Raw genomic sequence first — 20,845 nt, 5'->3', positions numbered from 1 at the left:
GAAGGCGCAGAGTAGGATTCAGTGCAGATGTGGCCCCACCGTCTCCACCGCAGTGACAGTGACGAGTTCCATCTGGATTCCATCAGAGTGGGACGCTCGCTCACTAATTCTATCAGTGTACACAGCAGGGCTGGCCGGCAGTCTCACGCCTCTGCTCAGTGACATGACTCGTGACTTTGCAAAGCATTTGCAGTTTAACCAGACATGCAGCACTTCCAGAAGTGTTAATGAGTGAGCGGCTGCCACCAGGAACACGCTGGCCTGCAAACCCAGCCAGCCTGTTACTCAATAACCCTGAGGTGCGGGTAAAAATTAATCCCCTCGGCCAGGAGCAGTGGCTCATGCCCTTGGGAGGCTCATGCCTTTGGGAGGCCAAGGCGGGTGGATCACCTGAGATCAGGAGTTTGAGACCAGCCTGGCCAACATGGCAAAACCTCGTCTCTACTAAAAATACAAAAATTAGCCAGACATGGTGGTACGCACCTGTAATCCCAGCTACTTGGGAGGCTGAGGCAGGAGAATTGCTTGAACTCAGGAGGTAGAGATTGCAGTGAGCCAAGACTGCGCCATTGCAGTCCAGCCTGGGCAACAGAGGGAGACTCCATCTCACAAAACAAACAACAACAACAACAAAAAACAATTAATAGTCCTCACATACAGGACTAGGCAGAAGAAGGAAGGGAAAAAGGAAGTCACTGCTGAGAGAACCCTCAGGCAGGCTCAACTGCCTGCCGTCTCCCCTTGCCTCTGGCCAGCGAGCCTCAGATGGTGTTTACTTCCCAAGCCATTGCTTGCAATGTGTTTTAAAACAAAAGGCTGCTTTGCACTGATCAGGAGGACCCAGCTGGGAGGATCCAGACTTACCAAAACTATCCCATTAATAGAGTAGTTGTACCAGCAGCATTGGCTCTGAGACCGTTGGCTAGGTCTTAGAAGGAAATAAACCACTTAGTGATAACTGCCGCCTTTGGATCAAAAGTCCTTGGGATTTTTGCCACTGAGTTTAAATGGAAAAAAATGAAAAAAGAGAAAAAAAATCCTAGGGAAAGAAAGCACCAGTAAAGGTGCTCTTAAGGGGCTGAGACTGATTTGCTGGTTCTGTCCTGAAGGACGGGGACAGGAGGAGGGTGGCAGCGGAGGACATGGAGGGAGAAGTACCAAACAAGCCCAGCCATGTCTGCGGGAGAAGAAACGCCACCCGAAGCCCAGTCACACCCACATTCCCACCCCACCTGACCCAACGGGATCACCTATTCACTCACCCCAAGAAACATGAAGACCGTCCTAGCTGAGAAGTCATCCGTACCACACCCCTTGAAGCCTCTTCCATCCCCGGAAGAAGTCCCTCAGACTCATGAGAACCAGGAACGGGATGTGGAGGGGTCAGCAGAGCCTAAGCAGGACGACTGGAGCCATTTGTATCTTGTGTGTGGGGCATCTATGAGCTTATGAGTTTCTTTCTTAAGTGCTTCAGAATTGTGACCAAGGCATGACCAACCATGTGATGAGCTGGGCAGCACTGGAACGGACTGCACATGAGTGAAGGGAGCCCATGAAGGGAGCCCACGGTCATCTGCGGCAGCTTGCAGCGAATCCCTCCAGGGCCTCTCTCTGCCTGCCTGCCAAGTCTAGTTCCAGCTTATCTGTTGCTCCTGCTTTTGCAATAAGCACAAGACTGATCATTTATTCCTGCTAAGTATTGTCTGCTTGTCTGTCCTGATGGAGAAACTCCCCAAGAGTCCTAAGCTACAAGGGCAAGCGTGCTCAGGGCAGCCAAAAAGTTTAGAAATTTCCTACATAACCACCCAGAGAAGGTGGTGAGTGAATTATGAGACCTCCAAACCATGGAACACCATGACCATTAAAAAGATGAGGTGGCTTTATATAATGGCATGGAAGGATGATACACTTGTAAGTGAAAAAAGCAAGCTAGAGAATATAGACCCATATCCATGTTTATCCTCTCATTATATATAATGTAAGGGGCTGAACAGCCACAGTGTTTTGAAGGACACACACCAAACTGCTAAGGAGAGGAGAAAGGAGAATTATCACTTTATTTTATTTTATTTTTTTGAGACAATGTCTGGCTCTATTGCCCAGGCTGGAGTGCAGTGGTACAATCACAGCTCACTGCAGTCTCAGCCTCCTGGGCTCAAGGGATCCTCCTACCTCAGCCTCCTGAGTAGCTGGGACTACAGGCATGCACCACCATAGCCAGCAAAGTTTTGTGGGTATTTTTTTATAGCGACAGGGTCTCACCATGTTGCCCAGGCTGTTGTCAAACTCCTGGGCTCAAGCAGCCTTCCAAAGTGCTGGGATTACAGGCGTAAGCCACTGTGTCCGGCCCAAGTTATCACTTTTTATGCTTTGGTGTGGGCTGGGCTTTTTTGTAAGACCTCTGGCCTTGGCCTTGGTTTAGACCAGCAAGCTGGCCCCTAGGGGTGCCCCCGACCCTGCCTGGGCTCCCCTCACCAGCCAGGTCAAGCAGTTTCCTTCCACTGATACAGAGGCTCAAGGAGAGTGTTGCCAGGTGCTTTGTGAAGGGTGGTGGGTCCCAGACAACCATTTCCTGAATGCTCACCTGCCCACCTGTGCTGGGTACCTGCATCTGCATTGGTTGGTCACCTCCCCGCAGCCCTTCCAGGCGGCCTTCACTTCCCTCCACTCCGCTGCTCTGCTGGCCGAGCGCTGCATTCTCTCATCCAGGTACCCTCTTGACCACTCCCCTTGAGGGCTTCAGGTTTGAGAGTCCACCCTCCATCACTCCCCACCCAAACCCACCCTCCCCAAAGCTCAGTGGGCTCGGCTGGGACCCCAGGGGCCAGCCCACAGCTTCATCTTTACCATGGTTACAGACACCTACCGAGCAGTCACCATGTGCCCACGCATCGTCCACCCTCAACTCTCCCAACTCCTTGAGGGATGGAAAATCCGAGGCACAGAGAAACAGAGGAACTTGCTCAAAGTCACACAGCAACTAAGAGACAGAGGAGGACTTTGAACCCAAATTGTCCAGCTCTCGAATCTGCCCTTTTAACATTAAACTCCACCACCCAGCATGGCTCGTGACAGGTATTCAGTGGGAAGGAATGACCCCCCTCCTCCCCTGGGGTCCCAGCCAAGCCCACTGAGCTTTGGGTGAGGTTGGGTTTGTGCAGGGAGTGATGGAGGTTGGACTGTTAAGCCTCAGGCCCTCGAAGGGAGTGGTTGAGTGGGCACCTGGATGGGAGGACCCTGAGCTCAGCCGGCAGAGCAGCAGAGTGGAAGGGAAGTGAAGGCAGCCGGGAAGGGCTGCTGGGAGGTAATGGAACCGATGCAGACCAGGCGTCCAGCACAGGTGGGGAGGGACTGATCCCTGGCCTCCAGTCTTATCCTTTTGAATCTACTCACCACGCACAGTATGTCAGAACACCCTAAAAGCCTAACCCTGGACATGACACTCCTGTTTCAAACTTACCTTCAACAGCCTTTACTGCTCCAGAGATCAAGTGCAAGGCCTTGGGCTCGGCACCAGGGGCCCTGGAACCTGGCCCTCCCCCGACCCAGCTCCATCTTCTGCTGCCCTCAGTTCCTCCCTGGGTGTCCTCAAGTCCCCCTACCTCTCAGTCTGCTTGGTGAACTGCTACTCATCCTTCAAGACGGTACTGAGACATCACTGCCTCTCTGAAGCCTTCCTTGGCTCCTCCCTCTTCTGTGCATCCCTGGCCCTGCTGGGCTAGTGGCTGTGCTGCCACACGACACAGTAGTATCTGCCCCCACCCACCCGTCACCCCGCTCCTCCAGTGACCGGCACAGGGTCTACCCTTGCCACATCACTGCAAGAGGTCCAAGGAGCCCAGGCAACTGAGGAATCTTCAGATGCTGAGGCCCCTGAGGCCCTTCAATCCCAGAAACCTATTCTTTTTTTATCATTATTGAGGGAGAATGCATTTAACATAAAATCCATCATTTTAACCCCTTAAAGTACACCAGTCTGTGGTTTCCACCACCTTCACAACACTATGCACCCATCGCCATTACCTATTCCAACATTTTTCTTTTCTTTTTTTTTTTTCTGAGACAGAGTTTTGCTTTGTCACCCAGACTGGAGTGCAGTGGCGCAATCTCGACTCACTGCAACATTTGCCTCCTGGGTTCAAGCAATTCTCCTGCCTCAGCCTCCCGAGTAGCTGGAATAACAGGCACGCACCACCACGCCTGGCTAATTTTTGTATTTTTAATAGAGACGGGGTTTCACCGTGTTGGTCAGGCTGGTCTTGAACTCCTGACCTCAGGTGATCCACCAACCTCAGCCTCCCAGAGTGCTGGGATTACAGGCATGAGCCACTGCGCCCAGCCTATTCCAGCATTTTTCATCCTCTCCAATGAAACCTTGTACAAATTAAGCATCATCTTCATTCCCCCTCCCCAAGCCTCTGGCAGCCACCAATCTACTTTCCCTCTTTGTGGATTTGCCTTCTCTGGTGTTGTGGTATCATAGGTATGTAGGAGTTGCCTTCTCTGGTGTCGTGGTGTTATGTATACACACAGGTTTCCACCCTGGGTTCCTGACTCAACTCCACAGCCCTTGCTGCATTCTGTTGTTATCACATCTGGCATGTCAGGCCTCAGGAAACAGAATCTCTCTGACCTTCTCCTGCCTCCTCTCACCTGCCCCAAGGCGGCCTCTAATCTTCCCCTGTCTTTCTAATTGTGGGTCACATCATCCTCATTCCAGAGAGGGTCCTGCCCCACACCCTGGGGGAAGGAATGCTGATCTCAAGAAGCTTTCATAAAACCCAGGAGGACTAGGTCCAGAGAGCTGCCAGATGGCTGAACACGTGGAGGCAGGCAGGAAGGTGAAAAAGAACTCATCCCTGTCCTGGGAGGGTGGCAGGAAGGTGAAAAAGAACTCATCCCTGTCCTGGGAGGGTGGCAGGAAGGTGAAAAAGAACTCATCCCTGTCCTGGGAGGGTGGCACTCCCCAACTGCAGGAACAGAAGCTCCTGTGCTCAGGACCCTTCCAGATGTCACCCTGTGTCTCTCTTCATCTGGCTGTTTCTTTGTATCCTTTAAAATGCCCTTCACAATAAACCAGTAAGCCTCCTAAGTAAGTGTTTCCCTGAGTTCTGTGAGCCGCTCTAGCAAATTAATTGAATCCAAAGGGGGTCGATCGTGGGAACCCAACTTGAAGCTTGTGGGTCAGAAGTTCCAGAGGTCTGGACTGGTGGGAAAGGAAGAGTCAGCCTTGGGAACTGAGCCCTCACCCTGGGTAGATAGTGTTGGAATTGAATTGGAGGGCACCTTGCTGGTGTCTACTGCAGAACTGATTGCTTGTCTATTGATGGGGAGATGTCCCCACATTTGGTCACAGAAATCTTCTGCGTTTGTTGCAGTGTGAGAGCAAAGGTAAAACCCGGTTGGGAAATTTTTCCAAAACAGGTGTATTATGTAAGTGGCATCACACGATACATGGTCTTTTGTGTCTGAGTGCTTTCGCTGAGGATGTTTTCACGGTTCATCCATGTTGTAGTGCATGTCGGCGCTTCGCTCTGTCTTCTCACTGAATAATTGTCAACTGTATGTGTATGCCATAGTTCGTTTATCCATTCGTCGGTTGGATGGACATCTGAGTTTTTTCTACCTTTTGTCTATTGTGAATAAAGTTGCTATGAACATTGAGGTGAAAGTATCTCTTTGAGACCCTGCTTCCTTTTTAAAATTTTTTAAAATTAAAAACATTTGTTTTTGTTTTGTTTTGTTTTTGAGACAGAATCTCACTCTGTCACCTAGGCTGGAGTGCAGGAGCGCAGTCTAGGCTCACAGCAACCAACCTCCACCTCCCGGGCTCAGGTGATTCTCATGCCTCAGACTCCCAAGTGGCTGGGATTACAGGCTAAATTCTGTATTTTGAGTAGAGACAGGGTTTTGTCAGGTTGGCCAGGCTGGTCTCAAACTCCTATCCCCAAGTGCTCCACCACCCCAGCCTCCCACAGTGCTGGAATTACGGATGTGAGCCACCTCACCCAGCCAATTTTTTTCTTTTTTTACTTCTAATAGTACTTTGAAAGAAGCCCTACTTTCAATTCCTTTGGGCATATATTTATGAGTGGAATTGCTGGGTGGTATTCTATGTTAAACTTTGAGGATTGGCCAAACTGTCTTCCAGAAGAGCTGCACCATTTTACATTCCCACCAGCAACGCACTAGACCCCCAGTTTCTCCACATTCTCATGAACACTTGTTATTGTCCATTTTTACATTTTTTTTTTCAGTCAGAGTTTTACTTTACAGCCCAGGCTGGAGTGCAGTGGCACGATCTGGACTCACTGCAACTTCTGCCTCCTGGGCTCAAGGGATCCTCTTGCCTCAGCCCACCAAGTAGCTGGGACCACACGTGCATGTCACACACGCAGCTAATTTTTGTATTTCTGGTAGAGATGGAGTTTCACTGTGTTGCCCAGGCTGCATTTTGACATTATTATGATAGCCGTCCTAGTAGGCGTGAAGTAGCATTTCATTGTGGTTTTGATTTGCATTTCCCTAAGGACTAGTAATGTTGAACATCTTTTCATGTAATTGTTGGCTGTTGAAGGTATGTCTACCTTCCTTGGTAGAGAAATATCCTGACCCACACATGCATAGCCACTGCCATTATCAAAATCCCCAACCAAAAGTTGTTATGCTTGTTACAACTGATGAGCCTGCATTGATACATCTCCCAAAGCACATACATTACATTAGGGTTCACGCTTGGTGTTGTATTCTATGTGTTTGGATAAACATATACTGACATGCATCCACCACTATAATGTCATACAGAGTAGTTTCACTGCCCTAAAAGTCGCCTGCATTCTCCCTATCCTTCCCTCTCTCCTCCCTAACCCTTGGCAACCACTGATCATTTTCTGTTCCCACGGTTTTGCCTTTTCCAAAATGTCATATAGCTGTAATCAAACACTTTGTAGCCTTTTCAAAAGGCTTCTTTGACTTAGTCATCTGTATTTCTGTTTCCTCCATGTGTTCATGGCTTGGTAGCTCATTTCTTTTTAGCACTGAATAATATTCCATTATCTAGATACTATGATTTATTTATTCATTCACCTACTTAAGGACATCTACCAAAGTTTTGGTAATTATGAATAAAGCTGAATTCATAATGAGTAAACATCCATGCACAGGTTTTTGTGTGGACGTAAGTTTTCAACTCCTTTGAATAAATACTCAAGAGTAACTGCTGAATCATATGGTAAGTGTAAGCTTAGTTTTTATGCTTTTTAAAAAATTATTATTTTGCTCAGTTATCAGATGGAAAGGGATTCAAATATACTTGCATCAAAGCACATTTAGATTTGTAAGAAACTTCCAAACTGTCTTCCAAAGTAGCTATACCGGCCAGGCGCGGTGGCTCACGCCTGTAATCCCAGCACTTTGGGAGGCTGAAGTGGGAGGATCACCTGAGGTCAGGAGTTTAAGACCGGCCTGATCAACATGGAGAAACCCTGTCTCTACTAAAAATACAAAAATTAGCTGGGCCTGGGGCACGAGCCTGTAGTCGTAGTTACTCAGGAGACTGAGGCACAAGAATCATTTGAATCCAGAAGGTGGAGGTTGCAGTGAGCTGAGATTGCGCCACTGCATTCCAGCCTGGGCGACAGAGCAAGACTCCGTCTCAAAAAACAAACAAACAAACAAAAAACAACAGGCCGGTGCGGTGGCTCACTCCTGTAATCCCAGCACTTTGGGAGGCCAAGGCAGGTGGATCACCTGAGGTCGGGAGTTGGAGACCAGCCTGGCCAAGATGGTGAAACCTCTTCTCTACTAAAAATACAAAAATTAGCTGGGCATGGTGGCACATGCCTGTAATCCCAGCTACTCAGGACGCTGAGGCAGAATTGCTTGAACCAGGACCCGGGAGGCAGAGGTAGCAATGAGCAAGATCGTGCCACTGCACTTCAGCCTGGGCTACAGAGTGAGACTCTGTCTCAAAACAACAACAACAACAACAACAACAACAAAGTAGCTATACCATTTTGCATTCCCACCAGCAATGAATGAGAGTTCCTGTTGCTCCACATCCTCCCCAGCATTTGGCGTTGTCAGTGTTCTGGATTTTGGCCACTCTAATGGGCTTGCGGTGGTGTCTCTCTGTTGTTTGAATTTGCAATTCCATGATGACATATAATGTTGAGCATCTCACATGCTTATCTGCCATCTTTATATTTTATTCGATGATATGTCTGATCAGATCTTTCACACATTTTAAAATTGTTTTCTTATTTAATTTTTTTTCTTTTGCTTTGTTATTGTTGTTTTGGTTTTTTGACAGGGTCCTGCTCTGTTGCCCAGGCTGGAGTGCAGTGATGTGATCTCAGCTCACTGCAACCTGCACCTCCTGGGCTCAAGCAATCCTTCTACCTCAGCCTCCCAAGTAGCTGGGACTACAGGCGCCTGCCACCACGCCCAGCTAATTTTTTATATTTTCAGTAGAGATGGGGTTTCACCGTGTTAGCCAGGATGGTCTCGATCTCCTGACCTCGTGATCTGCCTGCCTCGGCCTCCCAAAGTGCTGGGATTACAGGCATGAGCCGCAGCACGTGGCCAGTTCTTTCTATATTTTGAACAACACTTCTTTATCAGATATGTCTTTGGGAACTATTTTCTCCCAGTCTGTGTCTTTTCATTCTCTTGACACTGTCTTTTGCAGAGCAGAATTTTTTTTTTTTTTTTTTTGAGATGGGGTCTCACTCTGTCACCAGGGTTGAAGTGCAGTGGCTCAATCTCGGCTCACTGTAACCTCTTCCTCCCTAGCTGAAGCCATCCTCCCACATCAGCACCCCTAGGTAGCTGGGACCACAGGCATGCACCACCATGCCCAGCTAATTTTTTTTTTTCATATCTTTGGTAGAGACAGTGTTTTTCCTTGTTGCCCAGGCTGATCTCAAACTCCTGAGCTCAGGTGATCCACCCACCTCAGCCTCCCAAAGTGCTGGGATTACAGGCATCAGCCACCATGCCCGGCTGCGGATCGGAAATGTTTAAATTTATGAGGTCCAGCTTATCAATTCTTTCCTTTATCAGTTGTGGCTTTGATGTTGTATCTGAAAAGCATCACCAAATCCAAATTCATCTAGATTTTCTCCTATGTTGTCTTCCAAAAGTTTTACAATTTGTGTTTTACATTTAGGTCCATTTTGAGTTAACTTTTGTGAAAAGTGTAAGGTCTATGGTTCATCTTTTTTTTTTGTATGTGGATGTCCAGTTGTTCCAGCACCATTTGTTAGAAACACTTTTCTCCATTGTACTACCTTTTCTCTTTTGTAGAAGATCAATTGACTATATTTATGTGGGTATATTTCTAGGCTCTCTATTGTGTTTTATTTTGTTGTTGTTTTGTTTTGTTTTTGATTTTGATTTTGTTTTTTTTTGGGGACGAAGTTTCGTTCTTGTTCCCCAGGCTAGAGTGCAATGGTGCAGTCTCAGCTCACTGCAACCTCTGCCTCCCAGGTTCACGCGATTCTCCTAGGCTGTCATTTTCAAGTATAAAAATTTAGTGTTCCATCGGCCGAGGTGGGCAGATCACAAGGTCAGGAGATCGAGACCATCCTGGCTAACATGGTGAAACCCTGTCTCTACTAAAAATACAAAAAAATTAGCTGGGGGTGGTGGCAGGTGCCTGTTGTCCCAGCTACTCGGGAGGCTGAGGCAGGAGAATGGCGTGAACCCAGGAAACGGAGCTTGCAGTCAGCCGAGATTGCGCCACTGCACTCCAGCCTGGGGGGACAGAGCCAGACTCCGTCCCCCCTCAAAAAAAAATTTAGTGTTCCATTACCCAATCTGTGCAGAAGACATAGCTACAAGCTCAAGTCATGTGAACTTATTCCTTCTTTCATGTTCTTTCTTTCTTTATGTAGATCCAAATTTCTGATCTGTATTGTTTTCCTCCTTTCCTTAAAAAAATTGATGGCCAGGCACGGTGGTTTACACCTATAATCCCAGCACTTTGGGAGGCCAAGACGGGTGGATTGCTTGAGCACAGGAGTTTGAGACCAACCTGGGCAACACGGAGAAACCCTGTCTCCACAAAAAATACAAAAAAAATTAGCCAGGCGCCGTGGCAAGTGCCTGTAGTCTCAGCTATTCAGGAGGCTGAGGTGGAAGGATCCTTGAGCCCAGGAGGCGGAAGCTGCAGTGAGCCAAGATCGTGCCACTGCACTCTAGCCTGGGCAACAGAGTAGTGTGACCCTGTCTCAAAAAAAAGAAAAAGAAAAAAAAGAATTTATTTATTACAAGACAGGTCTACTGGCAATAAATTCTCTCAATTTTTGTTTGTCCGAGAAAGTATTTCTCCTTCAAATTTGAAGGATATTTTCACAGCGTACAGAATTCTAGGTTGGTAGTGTTTTTCTCTCAACACTCAAATATTTCACTCCACTCTTCCTTCTTGCATGATTTCTGAGGAGACACATGTAATTTTTATCTTTGCGTCTCTATAGGTAACATGATTTTTTCCTCTGACTTCTTTCAGATTTCTTTCTTTTCCTCTGACTTCTTTCAGGATTTTTCCTTTATCTTTGATTTCCTGTAGTTTGAAAATGTCACACTTATGTGCAGAGTTTTTGTTTCGTTTCATTTGTCATTTATCCTGCTCAGTGTTCTTTGACCTTCTTGGATCTGTGGTTTGGTGTCTGACACTGATTTGAGGAAACTTGCAGTCCAATATTTCTTCTCTTCCTGTCTCTCTTTTCCTTCTGCTATTCCCATTTACATGTATGTTACACCTTTTGTAATTGCTCCACATATTCTGGTGTTTTTTTTTTTTTTTTTTTTTTTGTCTTTGTTCTCTTTGCTTCTCAGTTTTGGAGGTTTCTATTAAGATATCCTAAAGCAAGGCCAGGCGCTGTGGCTCACACCTGTAATTCCAGCACTTTGGGAGGCTGAGGTGGGCGGATCACCTGAGGTCGGGAGTTCGAGACCAGCCTGACCAACATGGAGAAACCCTGTCTCTACTAAAAATACAAAAATCAGCTGGGCGTGATAGCGCGCGTCTGTAATCCCAGCTACTTGGGAAGCTGAGGTGCGAGAATTGCTTGAGCCTGGGAGGCGGAGATTGCAGCGAGCCGAGATCGTGCCGCTGCACTCCAGCCTGGGTGACAGAGTGAGACTCCATCTCAAAAGAAAAAAAAGAAGATATTCTAAATCTCAGAGATTCTCTGCTTAGTCATGTTCAGACTACTCATACGTCTATCAAAGGCATTCTTCATTTCTGTTACAGTGTTTTTATCTGTAGCATTTTTTTTATTGTTCTTAAGATTTCCACCTTTCTGCTTTCATTGCCCGTCTGTTCTTGCATGCTGTCTGCTTAACGAGAACCCTTGGCATTTTAATCATAGTTAGTTGTTTTAAATTCCTTGGCCGGGCATGGTGGCTCAGGCCTGTAATCCCAACACTTTGGGATGCTGAGTCGGGCAGAAGATCACCTGAGGTCAGGCATTCGAGACCAGCTTGGCCAACATGGTGAAACCTGTCTCTACTAAAAATACAAAAATTAGCCCGGCATGGTGTCGCACACTTATAATCCCGGCTACTCAGGAAGCTAAGGCAGGAGAATCACTTGAACCTGGGAGGCGGATGCTGCGGTGAGCCGAGATCATGCCACTGCACTTCAGCCTGGGTGACAGAGCAAGACCCTGTCTAAAAAAAAAAAAAAAAAAATTCCATGTCTGGCCAGACACAGTGACTCACACCTGTAATCCCAGCACTTTGGGTGGCAGAGGTGGGCAGATCACATGAGGCCAGGAGTTCAAGATCAGCCTGGGCAACTTGGTGAAACCCCATCTCTACTAAAAATACAAAAATTAACTGGGCATAGTGGTACACGCCTGCAATCCCAGCTATTCGGGAGGCTGAGGCACAAGAATCATTTGAACCCAGGAGGCAGAGGTTGCAGTGAGCCGAGATCACGCCACTGCACTCCAACCTGGGTGACAGAGTGAGACTCTGTCTCAAAAAAAAAAAAAAAAAAAATTCCCTATCTGATAATTTCAGCATCCCTTGTGCCAGGTCTGGTTCTAATGCTTGCTCTGTCTCTTTGAACTGTTCTTTGCTTTTTAACATGCCCTGTAATTTTTTTCTTGATAGCTGGAAGTAATGTACTGGGTAAAAGGAACTGCTACGTAAATAGGCCTTTAGTGATGTGGTGGTGAGGTGTAGGGGGAGGTCCTACAATTAGGTCTTTTCTGATGACCCTGTGCCACTGGACTGTGAATGTCACCGAGCTTTTCTCAGATTTTCTTCTCTACCCTTAGGTAGGAAAGGATGGCGAGAGTAGGCTGGGATTGGGTACTATCCTTCTCCCACATGGTTGGCTAGGGTGAGCTTTAGTTGAGTATTTCTCTTCTCCCACGTGGAAAGTTAGAGCTGACTAGAATTAGGTTTTACCCTTCTCCTAGTTCAGTTAGGCTCTGATAAAACCCCAGAATGTTAGGCTCTGGTTAACTAGCTTCTCCTGAGGGCAGAGTTTGTCAAGAGGAGCACAGTGCTCTGAAGCTTTCAGAATGATTCCTATTTCCGTCTCCCTGCTGGAAGCTCAAGGGGATTCTTCTTGAGAAGGTAAAATTCACAAAAGTATGGGGTCCTCATATGAGGGAGTCCCCCTGAAGTTTTTAACTCTCAGACTTGTTCTCACCTAGCCTCTAACAATTTGTTGATTACAGTTCAGGTTTCCTAACTCTGGCACCGGTTCCTATAAAGACTTCTGTACATTGTTCTCAATGTTTGCATTTCTGTCTCTGATTATGGGAGCAGTGGTTTGCCCTGTGACCTCACTTCTCATATGGCTCTAACAAAGTAGAGTTGATTTTTCAGTTTGTTGAGCTTTTTACTTGTTGTAGGATGGAGTTTCAACTCCCAAGCTTTTTACATGTGGAACTGAAATTTACTAAGAAGAAATTCACAAAACATAAAATTAACATTTTAAAGTGAATAATTTAGTCAGGCGCTGTGGCTGACACCTATAATCCCAGCACTTTGGGAAGCTGAGGCGGGAGGATCACTTGAGCCCAGGAATTTGAGACCAGGCCGGACAATATGACAAAACCCTGTCTCTACTAAAAATACAAAACTTAGCTGGGCGTGGTGGCACATGCCTGTGGTCCCAGCTACTCGGGAGGCTGAGGAGGGAGGATCGCTTGAGCCTGGGAGGTGGAGGCTGCAGCGAGCTGTGATTGCATCACTGCACTCCAACCTGGGTGACAGTGAGACCCTGTCTCAAAAACTAAATAATAAAATAAAAAGTGAGTAATTTAGTGGCATTTAGTGCATTCACAATGTTGTGCACTCACCACCTCTATCTAGTTCCAAAACATTTCTGTCACTCCAAGAGAAAATCCTGTGCCTATTAAGAAGTTTCTCCCTGGCTAGGTGCGGTGACTCACACCTGTAATCCCAGCACTTTGGGAGCCTGAGGTGGGCAGATCACGAGGTCAGGAGTTTGAGACCAGCCTGGCCACTATGGTGAAACCCTGTCTCTACTAAAAATATAAAAAATTAGCCAGTTGTGGTAGCATGCTCCTGTCATCCCAGTTACTTGGGAGGCTGAGGCAGGAGAATTGCTTGAACCCAGGAGGCAGAGGTTGCAGTGAGCCTAGACTGTACCACTGCACTCCAGCCTGGGCAACAGAGCAAAACTCTATCTCAAAAAAAAAAAAGAAAAGAAGTTTCTCCCTATAACCCACTCTATCCCCTGGATCAGGGGTCCCCAACCCCCAGGACCACGGGCCGCACAGCAGGAGGTGAGCGGCAGGCAAGCCATCATTACTGCCTGAGCTCCACCTCCTGTCAGATCAGTGGCAGCATTAGATTCTCATAGGAGCAAGAACCCTATTGTGAACTGTGCATGCGAGGGATCCAGGTTGCACACTCCTTATGAGAATCTAATGCCTGATACCTGAGGTGGAGCAGTTTCATCCCCAAACCATCCCCAACCCCTTGCCCCAATCTGTGGAAAAGTCGTCTTCCATAAAACCAGCCTCTGGTGCCAAAAAGACTGGGGACCACTGCCCTGGATAACTACACATCAGCTACATATCTATCTACTCATCCCCTGATAACTACATATATGCTTTCTGTTTTTATGGATTTGGCTATTCTGGATATTTTATATAAATGGAATCACACAATATGTGACCTTCTGTGTCAGGTTAATTTCACTTAGCATAATGTTTTAGAAGCTTGTGCACGTTGTAACTCATACAGTAATCTATTCCTTTTTATTCTATGTAAATACTGTTTTTTGTTTTGTTTTGTTTTGTTTTTTTGAGACAGGGTCTCACTCTGTTGCTCAGGCTGGAGTGCAGTGGTGCTATCTTGGCTCACTGCAACCTCCGCCTCCCAGGTTCAAGTGATTCTCCCATTTCAGCCTCCCAAGTAGCTGGAACTACAGGTTGGTGCCACCACACCTGGCTAATTTTTTTTTTTTTTTTTTGGTAGAGATGAGGTTTCAACCATGTTGTCTAGGCTGGTTTCAAACTCCTGACCTCAAGTGATCTGCCCGTGTTGGCCTCTCAAAGTACTAGGATTACAGGCATTAAATACTAAGATTTGTTTATTCATCCATTGATGGACATTTGAGATTCCACAATTTGGTGATTGTGAATAGTGCATCTGAACATGTATGTCCATGTACTTATTTGGGTATCTGTTTGTAATTTTTTTTGGAATATACCCAGGAGCAGAATTGCTGGGTCATCTGGTAATTTTATGTTTAACTTTTTGAGGAACCGCCAGACTGTTTTCCACAGCAGCTGCATCATTTTACCTTTCCACCAGCAGTGTATGTACGAAGGCTCCAATTTTTCCATATTCTTGCCAATACTTGTTTTTGTTTGTTTGTTTGTTTTACAAGGCAGGGTCTCACTATGTTGCCCAGGCTGGTCTCAGACTCCTGGGCTCAAGTAATCCTCCCACCTCAGCCTCCTGAGTAGTTGGGACTACAGGTGTGCAACACTGCAAGTGGTGCCAACACTTGTTATTTCTGGTTTTGTTTGTTTTGTAGCATAACCATTCAAATGGGTATGAAGTTGTAACTCATTGTGGTTTTTGTTTGTACTATCTATAATGACTAATGATGTTGAGCATCTTTCCATTTAGATATATTTTTTGTATGAATGCCTGTATATCTTTTTGTTCTTTTTTTTTTTTTTTTTTTTTTGAGACTGAGTCTCACTCTGTTGTCGTGTCTTGGCATAATCTCAGCTCACTACAACCTCTGCCTCCTGGGTTCAAGCGATTCTTGTGTCTCAGCCATTGAGTAGCTTGAATTACAGGCGTGCACCACCATGCTTGGCTAATTTTTGTATTTTTAGTAGAGACCGGGCTTTTCCACGTTGGCCAGGTTGGTCTCGAATTCTGGGCATCAAGTGATTCACCCATAGCCTCTCAAAATGCTGGGATTACAGGCATGAGCCACCATGCCAAGCCTGTATATCTTTTTGTATATCTTTCTTTGTGGGAATGCCTATTCAAATCCCATTTAAAACATGTTTTTGGGCCAGGCGCGGTGGCTCACTCCTGTAATCCCAGCACTTTGGGAGGCCGAGGCAGGCAGATCACAAGGTCAGGAGTTCGAGACCAGCCTGACCAACATGGTGAAACCCCGTCTCTACTAAAAATACAAAAATTGGCTGGGCGTGGTAGTGCATGCCTGTAATCCTAGCTACTCAGGGGGCTGAGGCAGCAGAATCGCTTGAACCCAGGAGGCAGAGGTTGCAGTGAGCCAAGATCACGCCAATGCACTCCAGCCTGGGCAACAGAGCGAGACTCTGTCTCAAAAAAAAAACAAACATATATATATATATGTATTTTTTTTTTGGCCAGGTGCAGTGGCTTACACCTGTAATCCCAGCACTTTGGGAAGCTGAAGTGGGCAGATTGCTTGAGCTCATGAGTTCAAGACCAGCCTGGGCAACATGGTGAAACCCCATTACTACAAAAAATACAAAAAATTAGCTGGGCATGGTGGCACATGCCTGTAGTCCCAGCTCCTCAGGACGCTGAGGTAAGAGGATTGCTTGAACCCAGGAGGTCGAGACTGCAGTGAACTTAGATCATGCCACTGCACTCCAGCCTGGGTGACAGAGCCAAAACTTGTCTCAAAAAATAAATTGGTTTTTTATCTGTTTGTTGTAGAATTGTACATTTATATATCCTGAATAAGACCTTTATCAGATATATAATTTGAAAATATTTTCTTCTACTTTTAGATTGTCTTTACACTATCTTGATAGTGTCCTTTGGTGCCCAAAAGTTTTAATTTGATGAAATCCAGTTATCTATTATTTATTTTGTTGCTTGTGCTTTTGGTGTCATATCTAAGAATCCTTTGCCAACCCGAAGGTCATGAAGATTTATCCCTGTGTTTTATTCTAAAAGTTTTATAGTTTTAGCCCTTCATTCTTTGTGTATGGATTTTTAGTTGTCCTAGTACCATTTGTTAAAAACACCATTCTTGGCTGGATGCAGTGGCTCACACCTGTAATTCCTGCACTTTGGGAGGCTGAGCGGGGTGGATCACTTGAGGTCAGGATTTCGAGACCAGCCTGGCCAACATGGCAAAACCCCGTCTTTACTAAAAATACAAAAATTAGCCAGGCGTGGTGGTGCATGCCTGTAGTCCCAGCTACTCGGAAGGCTGAGGTACAAGAATTGCTTGAACCCGGGAGGCAGAGGTTGCAGTGAGCCGAGATAGTGCCAGTGAGTCAAGATCGCGCCACTGCACTACAGCCTGGGCAACAGAGTGAGACTCTGTCTCAAAACAAAACAAAAAATGAAAAAGAACCCCCCAAAATCACCGTTCTTTTTCCTGCTGAGATCTTGGCACCTTTGTTGAAAATCAATTGACTATAGTATTTATTTCTGAACTCTTGATTCTACTTCATTGGCTTATATGCCTCTCCTTATGCCAGAACTACACTGTTTTTGATTGGTATAGCTTTGTAGTTAAGTTCTGAAATCAAGAAGTGCAAGTCCTCAAACTTTGTTCTTTTTCAAGACTGATTTGGCTATTTGAGGCCCTTGGTGATTGCATATGAATTTTAGGATGGGCTTTTCTATAGCTGCTAAAAAATGCCATTGGGATTTTGATAGATATTCACACTGAATCTGTAGGTTGCTTTGGAGTATTGCATCTTAACGATATTAAGACTTCCAACCTGTGATCGTGGGATGTCTTCCTATTTAGCTCTTCTTTAATTTCTTCCAACAATGTTTTATAAAGTACACAATACATACAACATAAAATTTAGCATTTCAGACTTTTTTTTCTTGAGATAGAGTCTCACTCTGTCACCAGCATGGAGTACAGCGGTGTGATCTCTTTCCTTATTGATCTTTTGTCTGGTTGATCTGTTAAAAGTAGGTGTTGAATTCTACAACTTTTTTTTGAGATGGGGTCTTGCTCTGTTGCCCAGGTTGGAGTGCAGTGGCACGATCTCGGCTCACTGCAACCTCCATCTCCCAGGTTCAAGCGATCCTCCCTCCTCAGCCTTAGAGGTAATAAACAGTGAGAGCCAAAAGATTAATGTCCCTGGCACACAGTGTGGTGGAACTGGTATGTGTCCATCCACTCATGCCCTTTAGTGGCATCCTGTGTTCTTGATGCCTCGAGAGCATTGCTTTAACCACGAGTCTGTCAAGTGATGACGTCACAGTCAGAACTGGAAACGATCAGCCTGTTTTCTGTCATAGAATTTCTGGGTTCACTTCCCCATTATCTCTGGCCACAGAGATTGTCTCTGTCTCTAGCAAAGACAGTAGTCTAGAGGGTAAATGGCTTCTCTGGCCAAAGAAAAGCCTACAACACACGGAGAAACTGTATCTGGGGCCTCCTCTAGACAGGGAAGAGGATGGCTGAGGGGTTTGGGTGTCCTTACTGGGCACTCCTGAAGCCCTGAGAGTCCCCCAGCACTCCCCACCACACCACAGAACCTGACTTGCCCCTTGAAGGCTTCCATCCTCCTGCCCCAGCCCGGCGGGCCAGGACGTGGCACTCCACTCTCCTCCACCATCATCTGCCAGTTGTCTTTCCTGGGCCTCAGCCCTGTCAGCCATCCCCTGGCACATGCCCCACCCGTGGCTCCTCCCAGCACTCATCTTCATGTTCTTCCAGAGCCAACTCAGGGCAGACCTTCGAGTCTCTGTGGGTGTGAAGGATCCTAGCTTTAGCCAAGTTCATTACCCAGAGGAAAACACTCCCATAAAACATGTTTCCATTCACTTCTGTAAATATGACTTTTCTTCATGAAGGATGACATGCCAAGAAAAACCAGAGGTCAAAGCTCACTGGACACAGTGGCAGGAGGAAACCTCCCACTGAAGGAGCTTGAGAGCCCACTGCATCTCCAAGGAACCCAGAGCAGAACCTGTCCTCCGTGCTAGTGCAGCACCACCATTCCCAAACCATGGGAGGGCCACTGTGCCAGCACAGCCACCCCAGGGGATGCCCCATGGCTGTTCAGGAAGTGCCTGTCACTTGTTATAAAGCCAAACCACATGGCAACTTCAACCGTCATCTATAGTAGCAAATGGTTAGGCAGCATCCAAACGGCAGAAGGTAAGAAAAAACCCAAACCCATCAGAGGCTGGAGCTGTGAGATTTACTGAAGCCTCTTCAGCTCATTTCACAGCAACAGTGGGAGGTCCTGGCACCACAGGCAGGCTCCACTCTCATGGGTGGTGACACCTTGCTCCCAAAGCTCTTCTTCCAAATGTGGAAACTGGGTGGTCTCCAGCCTGCAACTGACAGAGCTGCACTGGCAAAGAAGCCACCAGCTACCATCCCATGCCCTAAGCCAATTCATTCCGAAGATCGAGAGGCCCCATTTCTAGGGACAGGTTCACAGAAAGCAAGGACACTTCTTCAAAGTAAATAGCTCTATCATTAACTGGATTTGGAAACTTGGGGAGAGAATGAACACCTTTCCCTCAAAGCTGTTTCCTCAAGTAAACTAGGTGTGAGGGGTGGCACTGCTGAGTGTGCAAGAGCCCACGGAACACTTGGGCAGCTTCCAGAAGCAGAGCCCTTGGTGCTTCTGCACAAACAAGGCCCTGGCCTACTGGGGCAAGCCCTCGGGCCACGCTGCTCTCTGTGGAGCACAGAGAAGGCCAGCGTGGCTGGTGACTGATCCTAATTTTGTGCTAAATAAACTATTTTATTCCAGATTCTAACACAGACAAGCAGAAAGCAAAGGTTTAAGGTGTTTGGGGAGGAAGAAAAATTAGTTTTTATGAGCAAGTCTACATATTCCTCCATAAGTCAGGCTGAGTGGGAGGACAGGGGTGTGTAAACCCCAGTGCCAGTGCTCCAGGGGAGGCCACTCCAATGGACTCTGGGGAAGCTCAGGGTCCTAAACTCTAAAGACAGATGAGGCCGGGCGCAGTGGCTCACGCCTGTAATCCCAGCACTTTGGGAGGCCGAGGCGGGCGGATCACGAGGTCAGGAGATTGAGACCATCCCGGCTAAAACGGTGAAACCCCGTCTCTACTAAAAATACAAAAAATTAGCCGGGCGTAGTGGCGGGCGCCTGTAGTCCCAGCTACTTGGGAGGCTGAGGCAGGAGAATGGCGTGAACCCGGGAGGCGGAGCTTGCAGTGAGCCGAGATCCTGCCACTGCACTCCAGCCTGGGCGACAGAGCGAGACTCCGTCTCAAAAAAAAAAAAAAAAAAAAAAAAAAGACAGATGATATTAGACCCTTGACAGCAACAAGGGTCATGTCACTTGCCCTTTGGGATGCATCCCCCAGCATCTCATCTCCCTAGAGCATGATGGAGAACAGCCAGCCACGGAAGAGAGGCAAAGCCACACCAAGACCAATGGCAGATGGTGACCACTGGCTTCTCTGCTGCCTGTGGCCTTGCATGCTGAGATTCCAGCTCCTCCCCCTCCTCAATCAAATGACTACACATCGGGAACTTTCAGGGCCTTGGACAAATTGTCAGAACAGAGGATATCACATCTCTGAGAGGCTACTGCATCCCCCACAAAGCTGCAGAAGAGAAAACAAGCTGATGAACATTTCAACATTCACAGCGTGTAGATTTAGCTTTCATTTTATTTTAGTTATAAAACGATTGCCAAAACACAAAGTTTTAGAAAAACACACAAACACAAGTTTTTATTCCTTTTTTAGTTGCAGAAAATAAATACAATCACATATTCCATATGCTTGTCTACAAAAGCATCTCTAAAAATGTCATTTACTGGACTTGACAGTATAATCTTTTCGGCTTTTCAATTGCAGGTATCATACAGATCATTTTATTTTATTAACTTTTTAAGCACTTGGCTCAAGCAACTTTGGAAGAAGGCTTTGTGAGCTTACAAATCTTATTCCAAGTGTTATTTTTTAAACAGTTACAACTAAAACGAGGTCTTACCTTTTCAAAAGAGGAGAATAAAGTTTTTCTTTTATAAAAATTGCTCCCCAAACTCACAAACACCCAAACCGACATAAAAAGTTGGTCTATCTTCTTAGGAATCAATAAGAAGTGAGGTTACAGGGGAGAGGGAGGAACAAGCATGACGGTTCCTGTGAAATCCATCCCACCGAGCAGTCACTCTTATGTTTCCAGTTTGGCCCTCGGGAGTTTTCCTAAAGGAAAACTCAGTCATCTAAGCCTATGTTTCTGAAAAGGTAGGACATGGACTCCCCATTGTGGATCCGACGGATCGCCTCTGAAAGGATCATGCTGATATCCACAGTTTTAATCTTGGGGCACTGGAGCTTCTGGACTTCATGTGGAATTGTATTGGTGACCACCACCTGTGAAGCAAAAGAAAAAAAACCACAGCATCAGAAAGCCAAG

General features: G+C 46.5%; 2 protein-coding genes and 1 non-coding gene across 20 annotated transcripts in view, besides 3 other annotated features; all 3 read right to left on the bottom strand.

Moving 5' to 3' along the window:
• Positions 1–666, bottom strand: part of SLC5A10 (solute carrier family 5 member 10) — a 71,890-nt gene extending 71,224 nt beyond the window's left edge. Inside the window, exon 1 of the mRNA NM_001282417.1 lies at positions 484–666. The gene's annotated coding sequence lies outside the window, so the exon portion shown is untranslated. The remainder of the gene's footprint in view (positions 1–483) is intronic.
• Positions 2,867–3,480: an enhancer, noted in NCBI's record as "H3K4me1 hESC enhancer chr17:18851175-18851788 (GRCh37/hg19 assembly coordinates)". NCBI's record gives its function as "activates a minimal SCP1, AML or CMV promoter by ChIP-STARR-seq in primed H9 embryonic stem cells {active_cell/tissue: H9 hESC(primed)}" and the evidence as "EXISTENCE:reporter gene assay evidence [ECO:0000049][PMID:30033119]".
• Positions 3,481–4,094: an enhancer, noted in NCBI's record as "H3K27ac-H3K4me1 hESC enhancer chr17:18850561-18851174 (GRCh37/hg19 assembly coordinates)". NCBI's record gives its function as "activates a minimal SCP1, AML or CMV promoter by ChIP-STARR-seq in primed H9 embryonic stem cells {active_cell/tissue: H9 hESC(primed)}" and the evidence as "EXISTENCE:reporter gene assay evidence [ECO:0000049][PMID:30033119]".
• On the bottom strand, positions 7,269–7,343 carry LOC124904114 (small nucleolar RNA MBII-202). Its single transcript, XR_007065990.1, has one exon. It is a non-coding gene; the product is annotated as a small nucleolar RNA MBII-202 (small nucleolar RNA).
• Positions 17,578–17,777: an enhancer, noted in NCBI's record as "active region_11846". NCBI's record gives its function as "activates an Ori minimal core promoter by ATAC-STARR-seq in GM12878 lymphoblastoid cells {active_cell/tissue: GM12878}" and the evidence as "EXISTENCE:reporter gene assay evidence [ECO:0000049][PMID:35858748]".
• Positions 20,055–20,845, bottom strand: part of PRPSAP2 (phosphoribosyl pyrophosphate synthetase associated protein 2) — a 74,989-nt gene continuing 74,198 nt past the window's right edge. For all 18 annotated transcript variants that reach the window (NM_001243942.1, XM_047436415.1, NM_001353106.2 and 15 more), the window contains one exon: positions 20,055–20,802. In NM_001243942.1, the coding sequence (NP_001230871.1) occupies positions 20,644–20,802 (159 nt within the window). In that variant the 3' untranslated portion in view covers positions 20,055–20,643. The remainder of the gene's footprint in view (positions 20,803–20,845) is intronic.

Source organism: Homo sapiens, chromosome 17 (genome assembly GCF_000001405.40).
Source record: "Homo sapiens chromosome 17, GRCh38.p14 Primary Assembly".
NCBI lineage: Eukaryota > Metazoa > Chordata > Mammalia > Primates > Hominidae > Homo > Homo sapiens.
This window is presented reverse-complemented; position numbering and strand designations above follow the sequence as displayed.